This window comes from Homo sapiens, chromosome 6 (assembly GCF_000001405.40).
Source record: "Homo sapiens chromosome 6, GRCh38.p14 Primary Assembly".
NCBI classification, from domain to species: domain Eukaryota; kingdom Metazoa; phylum Chordata; class Mammalia; order Primates; family Hominidae; genus Homo; species Homo sapiens.
In genome coordinates, this window is record NC_000006.12 from 101,375,986 (window position 1) to 101,402,223 (window position 26,238).

A 26,238-nucleotide genomic window follows, 5' to 3' on the forward strand; every position below is an offset into this window, starting at 1 on the left:
CAGCAGCAGCCTGTGTGCACTGGGAGCTCTCCTACCCATTGCACCCAAGGGAGATTCACTGGATTCAATGAGTTATAATGTTTTAGAAGAAGGTTTAGGCTTTCTGTTCATTCATCAGTTCCCATAAACTGTTTTAAGATCTGTTTTAGTGAATGGTCATTTTCATGGGAGCATGATGGAGAGAAGAGGAAAAGAGGTAAAGGAAACTGTGTCTCTGGAGACATGTGTTCAAATATATTGTCTCCATTGTTTAAACTCTATGTCTGTTATATATAATAGACTTCTACTTCATTTTGGATTACAGAAACCTAGGAGGAAACTCTCAGATTTCAAAGCTGTGATTGCTAAAATTTTCTACCTTGGGCGAAACACTGCTGACTGGTAGTGGTAGGCTGAGCCTGGTTGGGACTGTGATGAGATGGTGGCTCTGCATGGATGATGGCAGCAGACATTGAGGCCATTTGAATGCTCAAGGGACCAGCTTCTTGTGTTCACCTAGACTGGAAGGTGAGCCCATCTTAAAATAGTAGTGGGGGCAGTAGTTATATTTCAAAGAGATGAAGAAGGCGGAAAGGGATGAGTCATGTGCTAGAGGAGGATTTTGCTGCAAGAAGGAAGTACCCTGGGGGAGGAATCTACAGGCACAGGTCCCTGGCTCTCAAATGGCAAAGAAGACATCTGCAGAGTTAGTGTGAAATGGCTTGCAGGAGGGATATTTGGAGTCATATAGAAAAGGTGTTTCCAAAGGTCAGGATGGCTGTGGAGCTGAAATGGAGCAAAGCCATGGCAAGTTGTGGTTCCCAGGCCTGAAAGTGGGCAAGGAAAAATGTTTAGGAGAGAACCTTAGAATGCCTCCAAAACTAAGAACAATGGCAACTCAAATCCACATCAGACTGGTGTATGAGGAGTCTTATTTAGTGCTCAATAAGACAGGAGTGAAATAAGAAGTTGGAACATACATGAATCAAAACACAAAGATTTCTAGATTTTATCTTCTGTGTCTAAGCTTTTGCATTTTTATTGGGCATGCTGTCTTCCAGTTTTCCTCAGAACTCTCATTTATAAAAACTGTAATACTGACTGTATAGACGTTGCATGAAAGGAGCACACCCCCAACTTTTCAACCCAGCATCTAATAATATTAGAAGAAGGAAACTGAAGGAGGACCTGGGTTATATCCCATCGTGACAGAATAATACACCTGGAAATTTGTTGAAGTTCTGTGTTCATCTATATTCGTATACACTTGACATTGTATTATATTAAGTAGCCATGTATGCTCATTATATCACAAAATAGTGTATCAAATCCCTAACATACCCCCATATTTGTCTGGCGGAATGGATCATGGTTCCAGAAGCATGGGTTAAAATTTTGTGTCTCATCCTTGCTGGTTTCATGACCTTAGTCAACTTAGTTACCATATCTGTATCCTGCATAGAAAAAAGAGAGAGAGGACACTTAGGAAGTTTGCTCTAAGTATTAAGTGAGAGAATGCGCCCAACACTTACTAAACCCTCAATACATTGTGCTGGTACAAGTTGTTGAAGTTGGTATTTTGATAAATTGTAATAATAGTCGCTTCTAGACCTCTTGAAAGAGCAGAGTGCCTCTGAATGCTAAGTTCAATTTTCCCTGCTCACAAGCAGATGCAAAGCTGGGGAGAGTGATGGCAAGCAAACCCTCACAGGTTTAATGATATAATGTCTACATAATAGGCTACTTAGTCAATATGATTCCTAACCTCTGCCTTTGCCGTGAATGGTCCTTCTACCCTTCCTTCCTTATTTGAGGTCCTCAGATTTCCTTCTTTTAATGCCCTTGAAAATGTTGAGATTCTCCTTTAATTGACTGAGTTCATTTTTAGTTTCTATTATTGCTATTCTCATCTTAGGCATCATGTCAAAAAAGAATTTCAGGGTTTTATTTTTTTTTCCTGAGACTAGCAAAAGTACAGGTAGTGTTTGCATTACTTTGTGCATATGTATTACTTTATAGAGGCAGGATCTTTACCTCAAATCCTTTTCCCCAGTCCCTGACCACAGAGTAAGGAAGGACATGAGCAACCTTTATCAGGGCCTTTCAGAAGGCCTCGGTGTGCCATTACCTGGGCCATGTCACCAGAGTCTCATCATTGCCCCTTGAGTGAAGATGAAAATGAAAACATAACACTAGGGCAACTTTTCAGCATAGATCAAAATGATGAGGATGTGTTACCCTGGAAATAAGAGTCAGAATAAGTGGGGAATGGCTATAATGAATGTGGAATTCCTCAGAAAATTCAAGAATAGGACAACCAGAGGGCAACTCTTCTTTGAAGTGGTTTTAATGACAGAGTTTGAAAACAAGTAAAGAGCATCCTTTTTATCCATATTTTGTCTGTTTTCCTTTGCATTTTTACCTAACACAGAATGGCTGAGGGGACTTGTGAGTATATCCACCACCTTAGTGACCTTCATAATTATAAATTTTTATATCTTTTATACTAAAAAATAAATATCCATCCAAAGTAACATAGTGCTCATTCACAATGCAATTTGGATTCTAGACATTTAAGTACTTTATCTTGGCCTCAGTGATTTCTTCTGCACCTAGTGAAATGTTTCAATGCATTTGGCTGCAGAGCAAAGATAGAAAGACCTGGAAGTTTACAAGGATTGAAGGGTACAGTCAACATCTACCACATCCAATTTTAGGTTGGATATTAGGGGCCTTGGTTCAGGAGAAGCTAGACCTGGCAGCTGTCACCTATGTTAGTTTGATTGGGCTGCCATAACAAAATATCATAGACTGGGTGTCTTAAACAAAAGACATTTATTTTCACAGTTCTTGACACTGGAAGTCTGAGTTCAGGGTGCCAGCATAGTTAGGTTCTGGTGAGGGCTCTCCTCCTGGCTTGCAGATGGCTGCCTTCTCAGGGTGTCCTCACATGGTAGAGAAAGATATTGAGCAAGCCCTCTGGTGTCTCTTCTCATAAGGATACTAATCCCATTATTAGGGTCTCAGCCTCATGACCTCATCTAAACCTAATTATTCCCTGAAGGCCCCATCTCCAAATACTATCGCACTGGGGGTCAGGGCTTCAACATATAAATTGGGTAGTGGGAAGACACATTTCAACTCATAACATCACCCAACTCTAGGTTCAATGTTGTCTCATTATTTTAAAATTTGAGTCTGTCCCCAGACAACAAGGCCAGCTTTGACTCCTTTTTGATTGATGTTCTGGGTCATTACTAAAACAGTCTTGCTGGTAATTCTGCTTTAACTTTGATGGTACCATTTTTTTTTTAACAAACTTTATTTCAGAGCAGTTTTAGGTTCACAGCAAAATCGAGAGGAAGGCGGAGAGAGTTCCCATATACCTCCTGTCCCCAACAACACACACACAGCTTCACCTCTCCTGCTGTCAACTTCCTGCATCAGAATTGTACAATTGTTACAATTGATGAACCTACATTGAAACATTATTATCACCTATAGTCCATAGTTTCCATTAGGGTCAATGCTTGTTCCTGTACATTCTATGGGTTTTGACAAATGTATAAAGACTTGTATCCACCATTATAGTGTCACACCTAGTAGTTTCACTGCCCTAAGAATCTTCTGTGCTCTTCCTATTCATCCCTCCCTCCCTCCTAACCCATGACAATCACTAATCTTTTTACTGTCTTCCTAGTTTTGCTTTTTCCAGAATGTCATATAGTTGGAATCTTACAGTAGATAGCCTTTCAGATCTAATGGCTTTTCTTTCACTAAGTAATATGCATTTAAGATTTCTCCATGTCTTTTCATGCTTTGGTAGCTTATTTCCTTTTTCCACTAAACATGGTGCCATCTTCAATTATCTGAATTCCTGCCCTTGACTCCAAGTGTCTTAGTGCCTAGGTTTGGCTCCACATGCTATCTATTTAAATGTCTAAGTCTCCATTTCTGCTGCTTATATTTTGATCTTCAGCTTCTGGATCTTGAGTTCTGCCTGACTTCCTTCTCAGATTCATTCCTCTCTCATCTTAGATCTGTGTTCCTTTATGCTGCATAGCTTATTATGTCATTGGTAACTGTCTTTTGTGCCAGTCCCTAGCTTCTGCTCAACCCCACATGTTTTGCTTGGCCTTCTCTTAAGTGGTATCCAATCCTTCCCTGAGCCCTGGAATAGCTGTTGACAGGCAGGGAGCAGCAGTAGTGCTATAGAAGTACTTACGCATATGTTTCTTGCTAACTTAAGCCTGTTCGAGCAGTACACTAGAATCTTGCTTCTGACAAGAGAATCCTGCAATGGCAACATGAATACTATTTAAAAACTCACACACACACACACACACACACACACACACACACCCCTAACAAAACATTAAAATAGTAATTGAGATTATTAAAATATATTTTTCTTATGTCCTTTTCAAAATGGAATTGGCATTAAAGACATTTGAAATGTGTCAATTAACACTGCTTTTCTTTATAAAGCAAATGATTCATACTTAAAATGTATTACTCTACCTTCTGCCCCTCCTGCAGCCTACCAACCTGGAGGTTAAATAGGTAGAAAATTTAAATAGTGGAGAAGAATGTTGGTAGCTTCAAGGATGTTCAAAGTGTAGCAAGGTAGAGAGAATCTGACAGCTGAAGCTTAACTCAATATCACTAATATGATTCAGGCTTATTTGATTCATCTCCTTTATCACCATATGTAACTGTATTTTCTTTCTGCACAGAGAAATAAAATGGCATGATGCAGAAAGAACTCCGTTAAAAGCATTGGAACATTAACCTTTCTTGGTTTCTCTCTCCTCATATAAATGACATAATTGCATATTGTGTTTAAATCCACGTGGGAAGTCTGAAGGGATGTTGTGAGAATTCATCTGCAAGTTGTTAAACCTCTATGAAAATACGGAAAAGCACTGTATTGGGAAAACTCTGCAACAATAACAAAACACACTGTTGTTTTACTGCAGCAGATGCAAATAAAATGGATGGGGAAACCAGGCTTGACAAAACATAGTGATGGGTCAGGAAGATGAGATGGTTGTCATCTTTAGTATCTAAAAGACTCTCTTTGCACGCTCTTTGATGAGAATGGAGACAATGCCAGGCATTATTAATGTATGTCATAATTATGTTCAACTACATTCACAATGACCTGTTCTTGACCCATATCTGAGAACAATTTGGTGGTTGTTTCCTTTCTGATGGGATGGTTGAAATCTCTTTTGTTTTTCTTTAAGTGAATGGCTAAATTCATCGTTACAGAAATACAGATGATTTAGTTTAACATGAAATGAATAAAAAATAAACCTAATCCCACCTTGATTGCTGTCAGCATTTTAATAGTAGAAGTGACTTTTTATGCCTGGCATTGGACAAGATCTGAGGGAGAAAAAACTTAGAATGCAGGGCTGAAGAAGCATCATGCTGTCTGTCCCCAGGGAGAAAAGAAATCTGTCCTCATTTTGAAATAGCTCTTGGCTATGGCTCAGAAACACTCAATGGGCAGCTTTAGAAATTGTAGCACTTTCTTTGACAAAAAGAAAAACCACTGTATGTCTGTGTACTGTTAAAGGAGATAGAGGAGGTTAAGAAGTAGATACAGAAAGTATTATGTACAAGCATCCATATTATGAAATATTCTTTTTTTATTAGAAAAAAGTATGCATTCTTCCATAAATCTAATTTTAAAATTTTTTGAAAAGTTTCTGATTTTAATTATTTTGTTCTATATTCAGGTCATATGTTTGTATTCTGCAATAAAGAGTATAAAATATATATATATATATATATAAATTAATACACATTCGAGAGAACTTGCACTACAGTCACAATTTTTTTTGTCAGTATTCTGCAGTCTTCAAAAATCTCTTTAGCTAAGGTGAATAGTCCTTATTTTGCAGTGGAGGTGAGCTGAAATAAATGTCTGCTGGTTTCTATCAATTATATCTTCTTTTCCCACATTCGATGGTCTAATCTTAGATTTCCCTCACCTTTATATTGCAGGCAATAGAAACTGCCAAACTTAAAATCAGTTTTGAACTTGAAGAGTTTACATAGGGTCAATGGAGTTGGAAGTTAGGATTGTTTTCTATTTAAAAGGTATTTCAGCTAGGGAAAAAAAATCAAAAATTTTTTGTTGTCTGTCTGAAACAGTATAAGAAAACTGACATATAAATGAGACATTTCAACAATATTCTGAGATAAAGCCCTGAAAATTAGCTTACCCTCAAACTGTTTTGGAGTTGTCCTTCTGGAATGAAACAACTTTTATACAAAAGAGGGGAACACTATTGTGAAGATTTCTTGATGGTGTTGATGTGAACACCAAACATATAATCAAAATATGTATATACTCAGCCAGAGGGCTGCCTGTCTTAAGTCAATAGATTTCATTTTTAAAATGGTATTTTTTTTGTTATCAGAGTCATTCCCAGGGACTAATGTGAAAAACAAAACAAAACAAAACAAAACAACGACGACAACAACAGAAACATGAACTATGCTTAACAACCACCGAGTAGCCTGAGGATCTGAAGACCCTTCCACTCACTCTTCATTTCTACTTTGAAAGATTGTTTTAGGAGGGTCGAGTGATATAAAATGCGCAAAATACCTAATAGAGTATCTGCATATAACAGTTATTCAGTAAAAATGTTTTTCTTCTTCTATATTCAAAGAGGCAAAAAGACCCAGAAAAAAAATTAATAATTACAGTTATCTATTTTATCTTTTCTCCTCGCTCGTTAGATTTTATGAGAGAAAGTTGAATATGGATCACCTATCAGAGCCTTGAACAGCCACATGTAAGTAATCTTGGGGAAGAAGAGAAATAATTAGAATATAGAGATGTCTCAATAATTTTGCTTTGGTGACAGTAAAGGGGCCAATGAACTGCTGGAAGATGCACTAAAAGCCTTGGCCCTTCTGAGTGCAATTGGGTGGAGTTGCTATCTTCTGGAATTGTTGTTTAAGGACCAGCAACACAGAACTTTTCCTCTAGCAATTTGTCATCTGCAGTGATAACTATTCCTTTTGTCTAACCATTAAGCTCTTTCTCTGAAATACAAAAAAAAAAGGTTTAAATTTCCAAAGTTGGAGAAATATTTTTGTGATATTTTAACTAAAAATTATGAATGGACATAAAAATATAGGATAAACGTCATCTTTGTGAGTAAACTTGTTATATTTTGCATAGTAGTCATGGGATAATAAGTCTTTATCAACAAATATTTGTTTCCAACTTATTTTCTGCCAGGCCCTGGGAATAGAGTAATAAATAAGAAAAACATGGCCCCACTCTTAAGTGTTTATATTCCAGTGAAGCAGGTAGTGATACATGCTAAGAAGAAAATGAAACAAGATAACACGATGAGCTGTAGCAAGTAGGATTGGATGGCCAGGGAAGCCACTGGGGAGAAAGTAACCATGGAACAAAGACCTGAAAGATAAGAATAACTCAACTACATGAAGATTTACTGTGAGATCACTCTCAACAGAGGGAACAGGAAATCTAGCATAGAGAACACATGAATGCAAAGGCTATGAGGCTGGAAGAAGCATAGCATATTCAGAGAAAAGGAGTAAGAGCCAATGTAACTAGACCATTGTGAGAGAGGGTGAGATTGGTAAGAAATGAAGTTAGAGAGGCCAAGCACAGTGGCTCACACCTGTAATCGCAGCACGTTGGAAGGCCAAGGTGGGTGGATCACCTGAGGATGGGAGTTCTAGACTAGCCTGACCAACATGGAGAAACCTCATCTCTACTAAAAATACAAAATCAGCCAGGCGTAGTGGTGCATGCCTGTAATCCCAGCTACTCGGGAGGCTGAGGGAGGAGAATCGCTTGAACCCGGGAGGCAGAGGTTGCGGTGAGCTGAGATCATGTCACTGCATCACTCCAGCCTGGGCAACAAGAGCAAAACTCTGTCTCAAGTAAATAAATAAATAAATAAATAAATAAAATAAATAAAATAAATAAAATAAATAAATAAATAAATAAAATAAAGTTAGAGAGATGAGTAGCCTTTGTAGGATCATTTTAAAAGTTAAGCATTACAAAAATTCATTGAATAGGGCAAGTATCAGAGGGTTTTAAGCAGAAAGATGTAATAATGGAAGATCACTTTGATGCTACCTGGAGAATGAATCACAGGGGCAAGAGCAGAAGCAATAATACAATTTTATATATTATAGCAGTGGCATAGGTTGAGATGATAGTGACATGGGCCAAGGTTATGATGATAAACATGACAAGATGGGCAGATTTTGGATATATTTTGGGGGGATAGCTAGAAGGATTTGGTGATGAATTGGCGATGGGGGTGGTAATGAGACAAAGAAAAGAATCACGAGTGACTCAGAATTTTGACTTGGACTATGGCATAGATGTTGCTGCTGCTTACTAATATAGGGTAGACTAAAAGTAAAAGTTTGGTGTGCAGCTGTAGTTCTGCTTGGAACATGGTCCTATTAGACCTTCAAATGAAACTGAGTATAAGAGCTAGGGCTCATGAGAGAGATAAAAACTGAAAATAGGTATTTAGCATATAGACAGTATTTAAAAGCCATGACGCTAAATTAGTCCACTTGGGAGTATAAAAGATCTAAAACTGGATCACTCCAACATTTAGACATCAGCAAGCCGAAAAAAGCCCACAAAGGAGACTGAAAAGGAACAACAGAAAATTATGATACAATAAATATTAAAATAGTAATTATAAAAGCATTTCAAAAAAGTGAAGTTGGTCTACAGATGTGAAATGCCCTTTATGAGTGTAGAAGGTAAAGACACAAACAGCAGCAAAGGATTTGGCAACACAAAGGAGGCTGGTGATCTTGCAAGAGCAGTTTTGGTGAAATAGAGGAGATAGATGCTCAAGTGGCATGTGTGAAAAAAATGAGGTAGGAAAATAGAAACAAGGTCAGAGGACTCAAGAACTTTTACTGTGAAGGTGAGTAAAGAAATGGGGCTGTAGCTGAAGAGAGACATGGGATGGAAACTTATTTTCTTCTTTTCTTAAGAAGAAGATGCTATATAACAGGATTAGAATGCTTGAGGATGTGAGAGAGTATAGAATCCAGAACACAAGTTCAAAAGAGAAAGCAGGGTCATGCCATCTTTTGGAAGATCAAGTATGTATGTGTCATGATATAAGAATAGATGTCAACAGAGCAATGCACTTGCCTTTGGCCAGATGATACCTGATACAACAGGAATTTGTTTTCTCACAGTTTTGGAGGCCAAAAGTCCAAAATCAAGTTGTTGGCAAATTGGTTCCATCTGAGGGCTCTGAGGGAAAAATTGTCTAAACTCGTCTTAGCTTCTGGTGGTTTCTGGCAACCCCGATGTTCTCTGATTTGTAGATGCATCATTCCTATCCCTATCCCTATTCCACCTTCACACGGCATTCCTCCTATATTTTCCAGTGTCTAAATTTTCCTCTTATTATAAGGACACAAGTTATATTGGGTTTACAGCTCACCTAATTTAGTATACCCTCTCCTTAACTTGATTACATCAGCATAGATTCTTTTTCCAAATAAGATCTCATTCACATTCATAGGTTCTAAATAGACAAGAATTTGGGGGAGACACTCACTATTCAGCCCCATACAGCCCAGTTGTTTAATTTTCTCTAGAAATGTTCAGCTGCCTGGGTCCAGATACTGAGTAAGTAAATGATTGAGTTTAATCAAAGAATGTTTATAAAAATCATTGTGGTATTGCTTTTTTATACATTAACTAACTTTAGGCACAAAATGATTAAATTAGTATTTTTAGTGCTTTTTGCTAAGTGAACAAAACTTATCACTTCTTTTGTAGGAAGATTTATTTTTAAGTTAGATCGTGAGTTTTGCATGTTTCTGATGACTTTGCATGAAGGATAAAGCAAAGACCTGTATATCTTCTGTAGCTTAGCTCTTGATTTCAGATGTGTTTTATCATCAAGTTTGTGGTGAAAGTCCAGAGGCCTGAGTTCTACCCCTGTTCTACCAGTGACTATAATGTGATACTTGTTCTGCCAAGAAATCGTTACTTTTGTAAATTACAGGGACCTCATAGATTTCAAAATAAATTCTTGCTCCAGATTTTACAAGTGAGAAAACGAAAGCATAAGAGAATTAACTGACTTACCAAAGATATTACGTTTAAATGCATGTTTAGTTAATGGAACTTTTAGTCCGGTGTTGTTTTCGCTATGCCATAAAATTATTCTGTACTTTTTTTTCTTCATTTATAAAATGAGGATAATATATACGTCTTGACAGTTTTTAGTTATACATATAAAATGGGAGAAATAAGTGAAAAATATTTGTAAATTCTAGATTCTACCCCCTTATAGCTGAGACTAACTTCCATGATTCTGGCTTTTGACAACTGGAGCTCAAGACCTAATTTCTTTACTGTAATGTTATAAATATAGTGAAATGCATGTAAGTATAAAACCTATGTACTGTTTTAAATGAGTGAATATTGAAACATAATATAGAAATTACTATGTTTCTTCTGATTTATCCACCAAAATATCAGTTTCTAATTATCATATATTATTACTTTCCATATTATAGATTATTTTCTCCTATTTTCCTAATTATGTATGTATCTAGTTTTGTAGAAATAGCTCTAAAATTATCAATGTGTTGGCTTAGAAGAGTAAATGAAGCATCAGGGACAGTGTGTTTGACTACATTTCTAGTTTCTAAACAAGTCTTGGTTGGATAACTCTGTTTATGAAGTGGAAATGTGGTCAACAAACTCTTAGTCCCTACAGTCCACAGAGAACACTAAATCTGCTTCTGATTTTTATATGATCAACTACATAAAATATTGATGCAGTTAAGTGATGCATTGCAATTGTCCATCTCTCTGTACTCAAATTTAACATGTGTTTACAAAGGGATGCTGATCTGGAAGCAGATTGAAACAGTTATGTATTAAAAGTTTGTTAGGACAACAGATTGCAAAATAAAAGTTTATTTTCTGATTTTCACACTTTTCATTATCATACAGAGTATGGGCCTACATTTTTATTCTAGCTTCCTCTCTGTTCATTTTCCTCTCATTTTAAACTTATTGCCTCATCCATTAATTTGCAGAATTAAAAACCATAACTGAATTCCATTACCTCTGTTGTGTACTCTCCAACAGTGCACATCCACACTAGGCCATAGCAACCCTGATAGAGCAGCCCGTGTGATCCTTCTGTAGGAAGGAATGTGAAATGCAAGTGGTTAGCAGAGTGTCCATATCCTTAATGAATGTTAGCCCTTGAAGCTGAGCTCACCTGCAATAAAAGATTTGAAAATTTTCTAATTAGAGTCAGTACATTAAATTAGAGGAAGAAAATCTATTGACACCCTGGTCAGTTTCTAAAGGCCCTCCTTAGTAGCTTTCTGCAACATGGATGACCCCTCCAGGAAAAACTTTTTAAGGAAACAGTCTTAATTCTGTATCAAAATGACTTCTTCTGTGGTAAACTGAATCAATCACAATTTGCTGAGACTAGATCTTAAGTGTTCTCGTTACTAGAGAAGGAAGGAAGGAAGGAAGGAAGGAAGGAAAGAAAGAAAGAAAGAAAGAAAGAAAGAAAGAAAGAAAGAAAGAAAGAGAAACAGAAAGAAAGAAAGAAAAAACCTAACTGTGTAAGGGATGAGTATCTTAATTAGCTGACTGTAGTAAAATTTTCACTATGTATATGTATATCAAAACATCATGTTGTACAGCTTAAATAAATAGAAATGAAAATGAATATAAATCTTGGTTTGACATTCTGAACCAGTTTACAAAGTTGGTTTGAATCCTTTGACATATCCAGTGAATTCTATACTGTTATTGGAACAATGCATGAACACAACACTCTTAGAAATCATCTCCAGTGTCTATTTTGCCCGTCTCCACTGGACAGTTACATAGTCAATTTTAGTAACTAATAAGCATAGGTTGTCTCATGGAAGGAATGACTAAAAAGACATTATCTTTGTGGATGAAGGGTTGTTACCAGAAGTGATTTTGTCTTCAGTTCTCGCTTACTGCAAAAAATGCTGTTGGCATGTGGTATCATTTAGGATCTGTTGAAAACACTGTTAGGGGATCGGTTCAAGTTTTGGGAGTTTGCTTGAACTCTGATAAAAGCTGAAAGCAAGATCTCTCCACTTACTTTTAAGCTGGCTTTCTCTAAGAGAAAGCTTCTTCTGATTTCTGGCTCCAAAGCCTTTTCTCAGGGGATTACTGAGGGGGGAAAATCTACTCAATCTGAGCTGCTCCATATTCTCTAGCCCTTCATATTCCAGTATAATTCATAGAGATTTATCTCTTGCATCTTAGAAACAACATCTGAAATCCTTTCTGATTTGAAACAGAGAGCTGTTATAGATATGACTTTTTTCCCACTTACCTTCTCTGATGTACCAGCAAGAGCAATAAACTACAGAGTTGAATACTAGCTCTATCTTCACTAGCTGTGCATCCATGGGCAAATTACATGAACTCTTTCTGTTTTAGTTTACTCATCTTTAAAATGAGAATTTTGCATTTGATAAGACCATTCAAATAATTAAATGTAGTATTTTATGCAAAAGTATGCCTGCCTAGAATGTAGCAGATTTTAGACAAATAATAATTTGTTTCTCCGTGAATCCTTGCATTAAGCGCCCAGAAAAAAAGTGGAGAGCATAGGTGGGTAGAGAATAGTCCTGAGGATATATATTTGGGAGTTTCCTTATTATTTGACAAATTAGATCCTGTGCTTTGAGAAAATGTATGCTTCTGCCCCTGTATGCCTTCCCATTTCTCTCCACTTTTCCATACTCCTAATGATAACTGCTTCTTTACTTCTTCTTTGGAGGTAGGGTGGGGAGTCTAGCACAAAATATTTTCTGGTACAACATACCTCTCTAAGGGATGCCACTTGTGTATGTTCTGCTGATACATTCCTGATTTTCTATTAGTACTTTCTAAAGAAGTGAAAGCAAGAATATCATAATCTTGCTAACAGAAGTTACCTTGTGGTTTTAGAAATGTCATAGAAGGTGTATTGTCTCAATTTTTTTTTCTCATTGTTGTGTCTTCATTTCCCTGGAACATAGTTGGTACTCAATAAATACTTGCTAAAAGAATAAGTTATGACCGGGCATGGTGGCTCATGCCTGTAATCCTAGCACTTTGGGAGGCCGAGGTGGGTGTATTGCCTGAGCTCAGGAGTTCAAGACCAGCCTGGGGAACAGGGTGAAACCCTGTCTCTGCTAAAAATACAAAAAATTAGCCTGGCATGGCAGTGGGTGCCTGTAATCCCAGCTATGTGGGAGGCTCAGGCAGGAGAATCTCTTGAACCCAGGAGGCGGTGGTTGCAGTGAGCTTGAGATCGTGCCATTGCACTCCAGCCTGGGCAAGAGAACGAGACTGTGTCTCAAAAAAAAAAAAAAAAAAGTAAGTTATTAAAAACTGGAATTACTTTTACATCGATCTTATAATTAGCTACTTCAATTGTTTTGAAGTAGGACTTGGAGATTTAGGAATTGGTAAGGGAAGAGGTAACAGTAGTGGAGTAGATGGGGGGAGATAATGCCAAGTATTGTAACCTAAAGAGCCTAAGATTTATACTGGTAGAAAGGAAGAATGAGAGTTCTTGAAATGTTCAAAGATTCCTAAGTCATCAAGGTAGAATGGCCCTGACTGTTGGACAAGTATCCAACTACATTTTATTATCCTTTCACACTCCTGATAAAATGCTCCTGATAAAAATGCCACATTTTCTCCATTCTCCTTAAACATCTATTACTTTCTCCCTACTCAAGACTCTTAGCTTGCTTTTTACTTTTACGTCATGAAGAAAACACAAAGAACAACAACAGGACCTCGTATCCTCTTTCTGTTCCTATTCTTCTTCTCCTTCCCTTCCCTTACTGAAAAATTCAGTACTAAATTATTTAAGTGAGACCAAGCAAAACAGTCATCTGCGTGAGAGTTAGGATAGTGGAAGGCAGAGAGTGGTAAGGAAGGTATCTATGGAGCAAAGTAGCCCAGCATAGGGCTTTGGAGCGCATGTAGGAAAAATAGACCCTCAACACCACACTTAAAAACTATTTGACATCTGCATTATATACTGTGCCTCCCTTCCTATTACTAGGGTTTATTGGTCCTTCTCCTATTCCAAAGTAAACCCCTCTTCTTGTACTAGGTCCCATCCTTTCTTGACTAATCAAGGACATCCGTTCATTTCTTCTTCAGCATGTTTATGTCCAATTATGGCTAAAATGACCTGAGGGAATGGGAATAAGTGGGAAGCAAGATACCGGGTCTCTAGTCCTAGAACTATTTTTAACTCACTCTGTGACTCTTTAAGTTCTCATTGTCTAGATTTTCTCATCTCTAAAATCACATTGTTGGAATAGATTGGTGGTTCTCAGCTTAGGGTGAAGAAGCTCCTCACCAGCCCATGATGGCCTTCAAGGCATCTGTGCATCTCCTATTATTGCATGTAAAATTTTGAAGTCATTGCACATGTGTTCATTTTGTTTTCAGATGAGAGAAAGGTCTGTGAAAACTGAACTAGAGTAGATTTCCTTGAAATGTCTTTAAGTCTTGACTTCATATAAGTCTAAGTTTTGAAAGAGACTACAAGAGACGGCCTGATGCTGTTCTGCACAGTTAGAAGGCAGTCTCAGTTCTGCCACATCCTGAGTATGTCACTCCTTTTCTCTCACTTTGGTTTTTACCATCTATAAAATGAAGGTGTTTAATGAGATGATCCAAAATAATACTTTTCAATTTTACATTCAGTTCAACAAAATCAAGCCAAAACAAACAAACATCCTGGTAGTTAGCTTGAATTCAGACTGGTCTTTGCTGTGTCTTCAGAAATTGAAATATTGAGCTGCTAATGTTCTAAGAGCACTTTGAGAGGGAAGAAAGAGAGGGCGGGAGCCGGGCAAGAGAGAGTAAGTAGGGATGTTGTTCCTGCATAAGACTGTAGCTGAAGGACTTAGCAACCTTCTAAATTTTAGAAGATTAAACCTTAAGAGTGATTGGAAATAAAAGAAAAAAAAGCTTCATGGTTGCCCGAGAAGATACTTGAGATCTCATTCCTTAAATGTTTAACTTCCTAAATCCTAAAATAAATCATGAAAAATATTTCTTTATAGCATTGAATTATTTTTGAAGGGTTAAATAGATTGTGTGGTGTCTAATGCTCCCTTGTTAGTCTGTTTTTCTCATTGGAATCTAGATAATATTTTGCTATTGAGAAAATTAATTTGTCACAGCATGCATAATTTTGATTTGTTCTACACTCCAGCTCTCTCCTATTTTCTCCTATGCTGTTGTTGGGACTTGTTATTTCTGTCTTTACAAGTGTGTCCTGTTTGCTTCAAAAAAATAGATTCGTGACAAGGCTCTCAAATCATACACAGCACTAACAGGAAGTTGTTAGTAAGCCTCTCCTTTCCCAAGTACAATGTGGGTCTGGGGGCAACAGTGTGGAAAGCGGAAGGTCTATCCCAGTACCATTCTTTATCCAGCACCTACTGCATGCCAGACTCTATGCTAAACACTTAATGTCAAATTAGACACACTCTGTTCTACACTCTCAGAGTTGTCACAAGAGCTGGGTGCCTTCACTCAGGGATTTCCACTGGAATCTGCTCGTGCTGGTGTTTTGCTCCTTTCTGCCTGGAAGTGGGTGGATGTAATCATGACAAGGAGAGAGTCTTTAGCCAGTAGACAAGTTATCTTCCTTACTCCCATGGAGGAATGGGACAGAATGGGGCATTTTTTCGGAGCCTGGCCCAAACTCGGCTGTGCCTCGAGGGCCCATTAGGCTGCAGGTCACAGCAGCTGGAGCCCAGGCGCCCAGAACCGGTCACGCGTCTGTGCTGCCCGCTCCAGGATGCACAATAGAGTCATTGACTATTTATTTACTGGGTAGAACAAGGCTGCTGTTGACTTAATTAAGGGAGCCGCCCAGCCACCCCTGGGATCTTCAAATGACTAATGGACTCTCCATTGCCACTAACTCATCTCTCCTTAACATAAGTCCCCAGTCCCCCTCCCCCCAACCCTGCCCCACCCAGGAATGCTCAGTAAGCATGTTGTGGGGAACGGGGCGCAGAGAGTCCTGGATGGTGACCAAGAGGGAAAGACTGGCGGTTTTGGCAGGACTGAATTTCTGTGTTTCAGAGCTATTCTGAGCCAGGCGCTAGCCTCAGGGTGTGGAACATGGCCCTGCTGCGCCAGGGTCCGGCGAGGGCTTAACTTTACTAGGGCTGCAGTGAAGGAGGAAGCAAAAGGGCAAGTTCTGGTCTCCAGCTCAGACAACGGGTCCCTGGGGACTCAGAGCCTCTCTAATTCCCGGACCTCGGAATTAGATAGATAGTGGAGAACCACCAGGGACTGGAACTGCTAGGGGACTGCAGAGCCGTGGAATCCCCCCTGGCCCCTTCTTTATGCAGCCCGTTTGAAATGGTCTCTTGAGCCCAGTGCGCCTGGCCTGTTCCCGCTTAGCCTCACTTAAATCTCCTCGCGAATCTGAGCTGGCCAACTTCCTCTGGGGGAAACTGCTAAACTCAGCTCCAGTTAATATTGTAGGGCTGAGGATAAAATAGCAACGGTTTTGAATAGATGTTGACTTTTCCGACCCAGAGGAGCGGAACTCAGGGATTGTTTGCAAAAGCTAATCGTTTCCACAGTGAAGCAGGGAGAGCCTGGTGCGCTCACCGCCGCCAGCCCCTCCCTGGAAGCCAAGCTGCGGGAAGACTCTGGGACTCAGTTGCCCCTCCCCATCTCTGGCCTTTAAAAGAGTCCTCCCGAGAACTTGGACCAGTGGCCGCCAAACCAGGGCTGCTTCCCAGACTCCTGTCTCCAATCTTGGAGTCTGCGACCTCAGGTTCGGCGCCCACTAGATCTCGAATCCAACTTCTTTCTGAAATGTGTTTAGGTTGAGAGTTCCGGGGCCTGGGCGGGAGTTTGGTGGGGAGAGGGGAGTCTGCTATTTAAGGCGCCATACATACACAGAGACAGCCCGCCCGACCTCCTAACACTCAGGAAAAGTCAATTTCCAAGCATCTGTTCTCAATAATGGTGGCAGGGAGCAGGGCACTGTGACTCCCAGCATCTGAGGGAATACCCGCAGCAGCGCTACCAGAGCGCATTTGCTCTATGCGCTGGAGGTCGGGGTGGGAGGGTGCGCAGATCAAGATCTTTTTTTGCGAACCTCAGGGAAATGACCGTAGTTGGACTAAGAGGTCCACTTTGGAGACTACCAGCAGCCCTCCAAGCCCTGGCAGTGGAGAAGTTTCGTTGCTATGGTTTCGGAGAGGCATAAAAGCCATCACCCAGAAGCAAATGTGTTTGGGCTCCTTATATGTGTTGTCACCACCCAAGGCTAGGCAAATTCCTCGGCGCTTTGCATGCATCACTCACTCCCTGACAGAGCATCTTGGCCTTAGTCTCCCCATCCCAGGAGGCGGGTGTGCGCTAAGGGAGCGAAGTCCAGCCGGAGGCTTCGTAACATCCAAGTCTAGGGACACCAGGAATTCTCTCGCTCTAGCTCCTGTGGTCCAGGGGTGGGAGATGCCCCCGAGTGGCCGCGGCGGCCAGGAGCGTGCAGGGGCCACGGGGAAAGGAGCGCGGCGCCTTTAAAGCAAGAGGCGAGGAACCCCCGCCAGGAGGCGTGTCTGTCTCTGCCGCCGCCGCCGCCGCTGCTGCTCCTCGGTCACCGTCTTCGCCGCTGCCGTCACTCGCGCTCGGCGCCGGCGGCTGCGCTGGTCGGTCTGGTAGCTGGGGACTTTTCCGCCCGACCTCCTCCGGCTGCTCCTCCCCGAGGACCACCCCACCCCCTCCCCGCCCACCTCACCCCTAGCTCCAGGTAAGGACTCCCCGGCTGTGGGCTGCACTCCGGGCTCCTTCACGAGGTGTTTGTTTTCAAGAGGACGGGAGGGACTGCGGGTGGGCGAGGGGCATTTTCCACCTGGAGAGAAGGAAGAAGGCGAACAGTAGCGCTGCGGACGTCCGTGCGCTCGGGGCGCCCGCTGGACGGATTCACTGCGAGTCTTTGTCGGGCTTATCTCAGCCAATTCCCGTCAAGCATGCAAGTGGCTCTGTTGGCTGCAGTCGCCTATGTTCTCCACATAAAATGATTTAAGAAGTGGACGTGTCAGGAAGTGGCCTCAGCTACGGGGACTCACGCGAGGCGAAGAGAATGAGACAGATGGCAAGAAGCTGTGTGGCTGCCGGCGGGTCTGACGAACTCCCCATCCCTCCTTCTGCCCACCCATCCTTCCATTAACCCTACTCCTTAGTTCTGCGCTGAGGAAGTATATTTATTTTAACCGGCACCCGTATTAAGAGCTTCTGAAAAAACTTGGAGGGCGTCCCATTAGGGTAAGGAGTGGGCAGTGTTACCAGGGTGGATCATAAACCTCAAGAACTTTTAACGAACCACATCCTCTGATATTTTTACCTTTAAGGAGATAGAGTTTCTTTACCAAACAACACGACCGAGCTGAGGCTCCTTAGAGAATAATTTCCAATTTAGGCAATGGGGAATATTAGAAAACTTACTATTAGTAGCCTTTTGGTAATGCACAGATTATCTTCTATCGTTTATTCATCTCCATACTGTAAGTATTCTGTCATCAGAAATTATCTTATGGATTGATGATTATTTTCATTTCACGAGAGATGATTGGTTCATTTGAGTCTTAATTAGTCAGTTTAGTTACTGAAATAAATGCAATTGTATTTCAATCTTGATTTGTCTTAGTTCATTACTTTCTAACTTTATAGAGTCTATTCCTGTAACCACCAAGGCAGCCTATCAACTTCCAGTGGCCTTAAAAACTTTTGAGTCAAACAAACAACAAAAAATTGAAATGCACAAGAGCAAGGTGATAGAGAATTGAGCAATGTTTGGAAGTCTTATCTGTTTGTTTTCTCCTATTTAAACCCATTGAAAATCACACAGGCTGAAATTTAAAAAAAAAAGTTCTGGGATATGTAAATTTATTCCACTTCAATTTGTTAATTAAGATACACTTATTTTAGTGTCTAAAAATTAATCAAAACTCTAAATGTCATTAATCATCAATGCAGCAGAATGTTGCTGGAACAGCTGATAATGTGTTCAGAATCATAAGGGATACCACAGCATGCATAGTTAAGAAGAGTGAGTTGCAAGTATGCAACAGTGTGATTTCAACTGAAACCTGACTCAGTCCTGACTTTATTCTCTGAGATCTTTAATGCCATGTATAAACAGGCTGTTTGTTTTAGCTAAATTGCTATGCAACAGGCCACTTGCATGGAATAATAGGTTAGGTGTTACTATAAGATGAGGTTTTTCAAATGTCACATAACAGCAGGACTTCCGTGACAAGTCAAGTGGAATCCTTAGTAAGAATTCCATGTGAAAAATTTAAATATAGCTATGGCATGTAAGAACCTTTGAAACATCTTTGAAATTCAGGTTGTTCTGGGGTATGTATTTGCTGTTTCCAGCAAAAGGTATAGGCATTGTCTTTTTAAATGTTGTGCTATAAAGATTATTACACATTTTCTCATACCCCAGCAGGTGGCAGCTAACTAGAATAAGATTCATTTTCACTGGCAGAATAGGAAACTAAAATTGTTTCTCAAGTAATAGTGCCCAAGAATAAGAGGTCATTAGTATCTGCAAATATAAAAATATAGTGAAAGATGAAGCTAGTGGGTTTTTTTGTTATTGTTGGAAGAAGCTTTGCATTAACATGATATGCATTTTCTTCTTTGTCAATTTATCATAGGTTTGATATTTGTGTCAGCCTTCTATGATTTTTTTGAGGTATACTTCTAAATACAGCTTCTCTCTGGGTGTGCGTGTATGTGTGTTTTTGCAGTTTGTTATCTCTGCTTTGACCTTGGAATCTACAGAGCTTTGGCTCATAGAAATAAAGAGTGCCATATGGTTAAAATGAGGAAAAAAATGAGACCATAGAATAAAATATATAAATCTTACTAAGTATATATAATTGCCTGATATCCAATAGCAGTAGTTTTCTCTTTCCTTTAAGGAAGAAGCAAATTACAGAACTGACACAATTTTTAAAAGGGTTAAATCTAGTCAGTGAAATACTGTGTAAGGAATTTATTAATCCTTCATATAACCTCAGAACTATGATGTGTGGTATCAGTATTGGGGAGAAACTTGTAATAACTTCAAAATTGCCACATGTTAAGGCATCAACTATGCCACCAAATCATTTTATTGTAGTATAGGGATGTAAATTTAGCATTCCCCCCCCCCCCAGGAAGTGAGTGAGTTTAATGTGAAAGAACAAGAATTAATCTCATTACCCTAGTAACAGATGGAAATCTGGAGGTGGAGAATTGAAAGTGATAACTAATTGTACATTTAAAAAATGTCTTTAGCCACTGAATATTGACAGCATGTTATTTGGCATTCTGAATTGTGGTCTTTCTAGCAATTTTTTTTTGTACTGACAATCAAGTAGTTTAGTGTTCATGAGGAATCTCACAATTAATATAAGTAGTTTTTTTAACAGTATGCCCTATTACAAAAAAAGATAACTACATCTTGGGCTTATCAAGCAATTGCACTGAAAAATACACACAACACAGTTGATAAAATAGTCCTCTTGATAATGTGAACAATGCAATAATTCCAATTCCTTTACTCTGTGTAGTAGAAATTTACACATTGTCACTCAAATATCATGTTAGTTATTTATTGTGCTACTTTCAATGTACTACTCCAGAATAATGAATGCCAGGAGCGCTGTCCGTGGTCCTGAAGAAAGGTCGTCTCCAGTCTTTTAGAAGTTCAACTGGACAGGTGGAATTGCTGTCTGTTGTGCTAAAGCCTTTCAACTGAGTTGATGGATGTAAATGAATCTAATTTACCATATGTGCAAAATTGGTTCTTTGGGGATCAATTAATATTAAAAAAGTACAATCTTTTAACTGTTTAATTTATTGTGTAATAACTTCATGAATATAGAGGCTTGATCTTTCACTTTTCCAACTAGACATCCAAATAACCCCCCAAAATAAATAGTTTAGAATACTAGTTTCAAGTGCAAAAGTTGCAACCATAATGTAAAATGTCATTATATTAATGGAATACATGAACAAAGAGATGTGGTACATTTTGTTTTCTCAGGTTCCAATAAATGCCAGCTACACTGTGAAATTTCAGTATTTTGATTAGTCACAATAAAACATGCTATTTTCAGGTAGTAGATATCAGTTATATTGGCAGATAAAAATGTGAAGGATTATTTTTTTCCCCTGGCAGTCATTATTATCTCTGCTAGGATCAAAAAGAAAATGAACAAACAGAATGGAATAAATGAGACAGCAAATAGAAGACAGAACGTGTTGGGCTGTGTATGTGTTTTATAAGAGATATTTTAAACATGGACTGAAGGAGTCGCTAGATACCCTTGGTTTTAGCACTAGGTGTTCCTTTTAAGGTGCTCGAACAGTCGAATTATTTGATTGAATTGCCTGCTATACTGCAGAACTAGCCATTCATGATACTTATTTTTGACACTGCAGTTATTGCCTCCATCTTAAAAAAAATCAATGCCACTTAATGCCTTTGCAAAATGTAGATTTCTCTTTAAATTAGCACTTTATAATATCTTAAGAAAATTTAAATTAAAAAATCGCTGTAAGGAAATGAAAACATTACAGTGTTTTCTTGCTGTTTGGAGGAAAAAATAGCAAGTCGAATATTCATATCACTCATATCACTCCTTATTTAAAAATTAGCCTTCAGATAGGATATTTTTTTGTGAGATTTAACCTATGCCCTGTTAGTTGGTTATGAAAAATAGATTAATGATAAGATATAGGTCCAACAGTTTGCCTTTTGTGATGTTTAATCTTTTAAAAATGTTGACAATATATATTTATTATACAAGTTAGTTTTACTTAGTGTAAAATATTAAAATTGTATATTTTTAATAAATAGACAGAATATTACTTATTTTAATAATAAAAATGTATTTTTATGTTGAAAGAAATTCTATTTCTGTACTTTATTTCTTGAATAAACTCCTAACGAAAGCCAAGAGAGTCACTACCTAGTGACTCTAAATATTCCTACCAGAAAACTAGCAAATGATAAGACAGTTTTAGAGGAATCTGTAACACTCAATGTCGCTCATGCTATGATCTCATATTCTGCCTCTTTAGGAAAAAGAATGTTCAAAAAACCAAAATACGAAGAAATTTGGGCATAAATTATTGAAGGCTTTAGAGTTTGCTGCACCCATTCAAACATCATTGTTTTTATATATGCACAATTATTTTCTTTGAGCTTAAAAAATGGGTGGAAAATTTAACTTCTCCATTTTAATTTGAGATTTCTCCCATAAAAGTTCACTGAAGAAATTTCTCCTACTTCTGGGTAGCAATCAAGGAATACCCCAGTCAAGTTTTTAAAGAGTGGGTTTACCTCTCCAATTGCATTCCAATCTATATTCATTCCTGGTCAAAATAAAAGTATAAATAAGACTCTTTCAATCTAACCACAAGTTAGATTTGCAGTAAATTCCTCCGTCTTAGATCACTTTCTTTTTTACAGTTCCCAGACAAACTGACTTTGATTTAGCTAGTAATTTAATGAAATTCATCAGTTGATTGTAAGAAGTCCGCTTACATACACCAGTCATTCTCTCAGCAAATACTCATGGAAAATAAAAGCAATGTTCTCCCCATAAATAAATCCTACTTCTTTCTTGCAACTCAAGGCGGGCTGTCAGATCGGTTGCATAATAGATATTGGGGAGCTCACTGGCCGGGAGCCTTAAGAGGAGAGCAGCTATCTCAGTCTTTCTCACTTAATCTTGGCTTCACGTCAGAAGCTGTGCAGCAGTGCAGTAGAATAGGGCCTGGCAAAACCTTTGCTAGCAAAGCGCCTTTTGTGCCGGGCTGTGGCTCGCTATCGACATCTCGTCCGTTACCAAGGCTGGGTTTCCTACTGATTTCCCTCCTCCTCTGCTTTCACAGGCTCGCGCGGCCGGACATTGTGGGTGTGCGTGCTGGATTTCTCCCGGATGCTCTCCGACTAACATGGATGTCCCACCATTCCTTGCAGTGGAAGGTTGTTCCTTGGCGCAGTGAGTGAAGAACATGCAGCGATTGCTAATGGGTTTGGGAAGCGGAGACTCCTTCCTCTCTCTATGACCATGCCGTGATCGTGTCTGCGGTCACCACTCGACGCATCCTCATTTCTACCCGAACCCAGGAGCCGAACGCTAGATCGGGGAAGTGGGTGCCGTGCGTGTGGGCACAGAAACACCATGAAGATTATTTTCCCGATTCTAAGTAATCCAGTCTTCAGGCGCACCGTTAAACTCCTGCTCTGTTTACTGTGGATTGGATATTCTCAAGGAACCACACATGTATTAAGATTTGGTAAGATTCCCCATCTCTCTTGGTTGCCTGGTATCCGCTCCCAGGCAGCCGGATGTAAACAGGCGGTTCGCTCTGCCTGGCGGTGGGCTCCGTGGATTCTGATCTGCTCACTGCTCTGTCGTCTCCTGGGGCTTTTAAAGAACTCCTTGTGCTTTCATTTCTTCTCTTCTTTATTTTTATTTTTAGCCGCGGGAGGGTGAAGGGAGGGCCAATGTGTGGTAGTGGTCTCTGCATTACCTCCCCACAGTAGCTTGCCACGGAGATGATGATGACGATGGAGGCACGGTCAGCCGCCACTCCCGCCTGTCTCCCCCGGCGCCCTGCGAGCTTGGAGGGGTGCGCGGTCCGCGCAAAAGTGCGCGCCGGGGCTGCACGCCTCTCAGCTTGCGGGGCTGGTGAGTTAACACCTGGTAACTCTTTGGCGAGTTGCGCCTGTCCGCTTCCGCCAGTGACCAGGGCAGTTCTCACGTGCAAATGAAAGGTACTAACCCTTTTGATTTCTTTTTCCAGAGAGCCTTTTCGATTGTTTTCACCGCTTTTCCAGTCCCTGGTGCCCTTACTGGGATGCAGAGCTTTAAAAAATGTTCTAAGATTCGAGGTTCTACTTAACACAGGGAGGCTGCTACTTAGCTGGAACGAAATAGCGTCAAAATTAGAACGGCATTTTGTTTGTTTTTAACTTGCTGAGTCCCCCTCTCACAGCTTTCTGGACGTTATGGACTAATTAATGAAGGATAGTATCTGGGGCGGTGGGGAAGAGTAGTTGTTTAAGGAGGGTTGACTAAGTCTGCATCTTTCACTTTGGCAAGACGAAAGACGTTAGGTAGTTACATTTTTTTATGGAAATGTATTGCTTTTCTAAGAATCAGGGTTTCTTTGGAGCTTGAAGGAAAATCTAAACGTGGGATTCCAGTGGAAACCCTGGTCAGAGGGTCAGAGTGATTGCTTGGAGAAAATGAAGCGTGGGCGATGCTCAGGTTCTCTGGATGGCCAAAGGAGTTTTAGTAGGAGCAGAACTAGTCAGGGAAAGTTCCCTAAAGCAGATAAGAGGAAGAAAGGAGAAAGCCAACAGGATAAATGCTCCCATTGTAGGCACTTCCTCTGACAGTTCAAGTGGATTCAGACCAAAGAGTGCAGGACACCATGTAATCCTGAGCATCTGTCTTTGAGATAAAAGCAGACACATTAAGTCACTCGGTCAAATTTAAACTGAAGAGTGATTGCCTGCATCTTCTATCATGCCAACAGCATCTCCTGTCTTTCCATTTTACCATGTGTGTGTTTTATCCCCCCAATGATAAAATTCACCATCTCTCCTAGGCTTTGTAGAACAAAGGTAGGGATGTTTCACATACATTCAAAAAGGGAACCTCACCGACCACACATACACATAGATGCCCACAGTCAAAAAGCCTGCTGATGATAAAAGAGGCACTGGGTTATAGCTGGATTCCCACTGTAGTAGTTTTCATGCTTTTTTCATGCCTTTAGATGGTACTTAAGCACGTTGCTCTTAGCAACAAGCATCCACAGGAATGATTGTTTCTGTGGACAGGATTAAACAGGTCCGTATACCATTGGAAATGTGTGTGTACGCACACGCGTGTGTGTGCATGTGTGTTTTTTGTGTGTGTGTTTTCAGCAGTTAGGCTTCAAATATGGTAAGTGCTACAGTATGGTAGTTTGCCCAATATTTCGAGTATTTCATCCTAATTATGTGGAATCCTGAAGAATTCTGAAGTGTGTTTGTGAATGAGTGTGCGTTACTAAGTGTGTTTGCCGACTAGATGGAAAAAAGAAGACTTGGAGCCGGAAAACTGCCACCAATACTCTAAGGATTTAATTATTGCCGCTCTGGTCTTGCAGCACAATATTTGCTGAATCACTAGATTGTTACACTCGCTGATCATTTCATATCTTCATATTAAAAATCTTGGCGACTGTAGCAGAGTGCGTAGCAGCTTTCCAAAAGAGCTCTCTCTCTCACACACACGCACACACACGCACACACATACACACACACAAACAAGCTTTCTTAGACCAATGCTTACTAAAAATGTCTTTAAGAAATACGGTAGTAGGCAAAGATCTCCACACTAGTCCCTTGACAACCCTAAACCAACAGTCCAGCTTCTAGATAACCTGCTGTTTTCTACGTTAACTTAAAACATCTTCCACGTGGAGATGCATTTCTTCTGATTTCTGACCTAAGTTGTGGGGAAGAAGGACTGTGTACATTGTTACTGGAACATTTCCCTGTTGGGGCTATTTTGATGTAATGGTGGGAGTTTTATTTTCTTCTGGGATAAACACGTTCTGAGTGGATTGGATGGTTGGTTGAGCACGTATAAGCCACTCTTGAGAATGGTTATTTTCAACTTTGGCTCAAAAGTCCAGCCAGTGCCTCATGCCCTGGACCCGTGCCTTGGAAGGGAAGAGCTTGGAGTTGCACGTGGCGCAGCTGCCCCAGTGGTGGAGAGACCCGCCGCCTCTGCTGGGGAGGCAGCATCCAGTGTCCCTTCCATCCCCCACCCTTGGCGTGGCTAGGCGCCGGCAGCCGCCAGGCGCCTCCGCCGCGGCGCTATGGCAACGGCGGAGCCCGCCCAGGCGGCCACCCCAGCCCCCCTTCCCCGCTAGTTAAGGCTCTGTGTTATCCTTCCCCTTGCTCCCGCTAGGACTGTGATTCGACCCAGCGTCCTCCTGTCACCTCCTGCGAGGTGAGGGGCAGCCCCCGCTTAGAGTGCTGAACCCTTGCCACGTCCCTCGCCTCCCCCGCCCGTCTTCAGCGTGCGCAACCCTCTTCCCCGCGCTTCCCTCTCCCTCTCTGTATG

The 26,238-nt window shown here is 40.2% G+C and overlaps 1 protein-coding gene across 7 annotated transcripts in view, besides 1 other annotated feature; it reads left to right on the forward strand.

Annotated features, from left to right (window-relative positions):
• GRIK2 (glutamate ionotropic receptor kainate type subunit 2) overlaps positions 17,723-26,238 on the forward strand; it is a 676,376-nt gene continuing 667,860 nt past the window's right edge. For 4 of the 7 annotated variants that reach the window (NM_021956.5, XM_047418682.1, XM_017010781.3 and 1 more), the window contains exons 1-2: positions 17,723-17,852; positions 23,000-23,407. In NM_021956.5, the coding sequence (NP_068775.1) occupies positions 23,293-23,407 (115 nt within the window). In that variant the 5' untranslated portion in view covers positions 17,723-17,852; positions 23,000-23,292. Of the gene's footprint in view, positions 18,368-22,999; positions 23,408-26,238 lie in introns of those variants that run through there. The other 3 variants (NM_175768.3, NM_001166247.1, XM_047418681.1) reach the window with 2 other exon arrangements.
• Positions 22,501-23,385: an enhancer, noted in NCBI's record as "H3K4me1 hESC enhancer chr6:101846362-101847246 (GRCh37/hg19 assembly coordinates)". NCBI's record gives its function as "activates a minimal SCP1, AML or CMV promoter by ChIP-STARR-seq in primed H9 embryonic stem cells {active_cell/tissue: H9 hESC(primed)}" and the evidence as "EXISTENCE:reporter gene assay evidence [ECO:0000049][PMID:30033119]".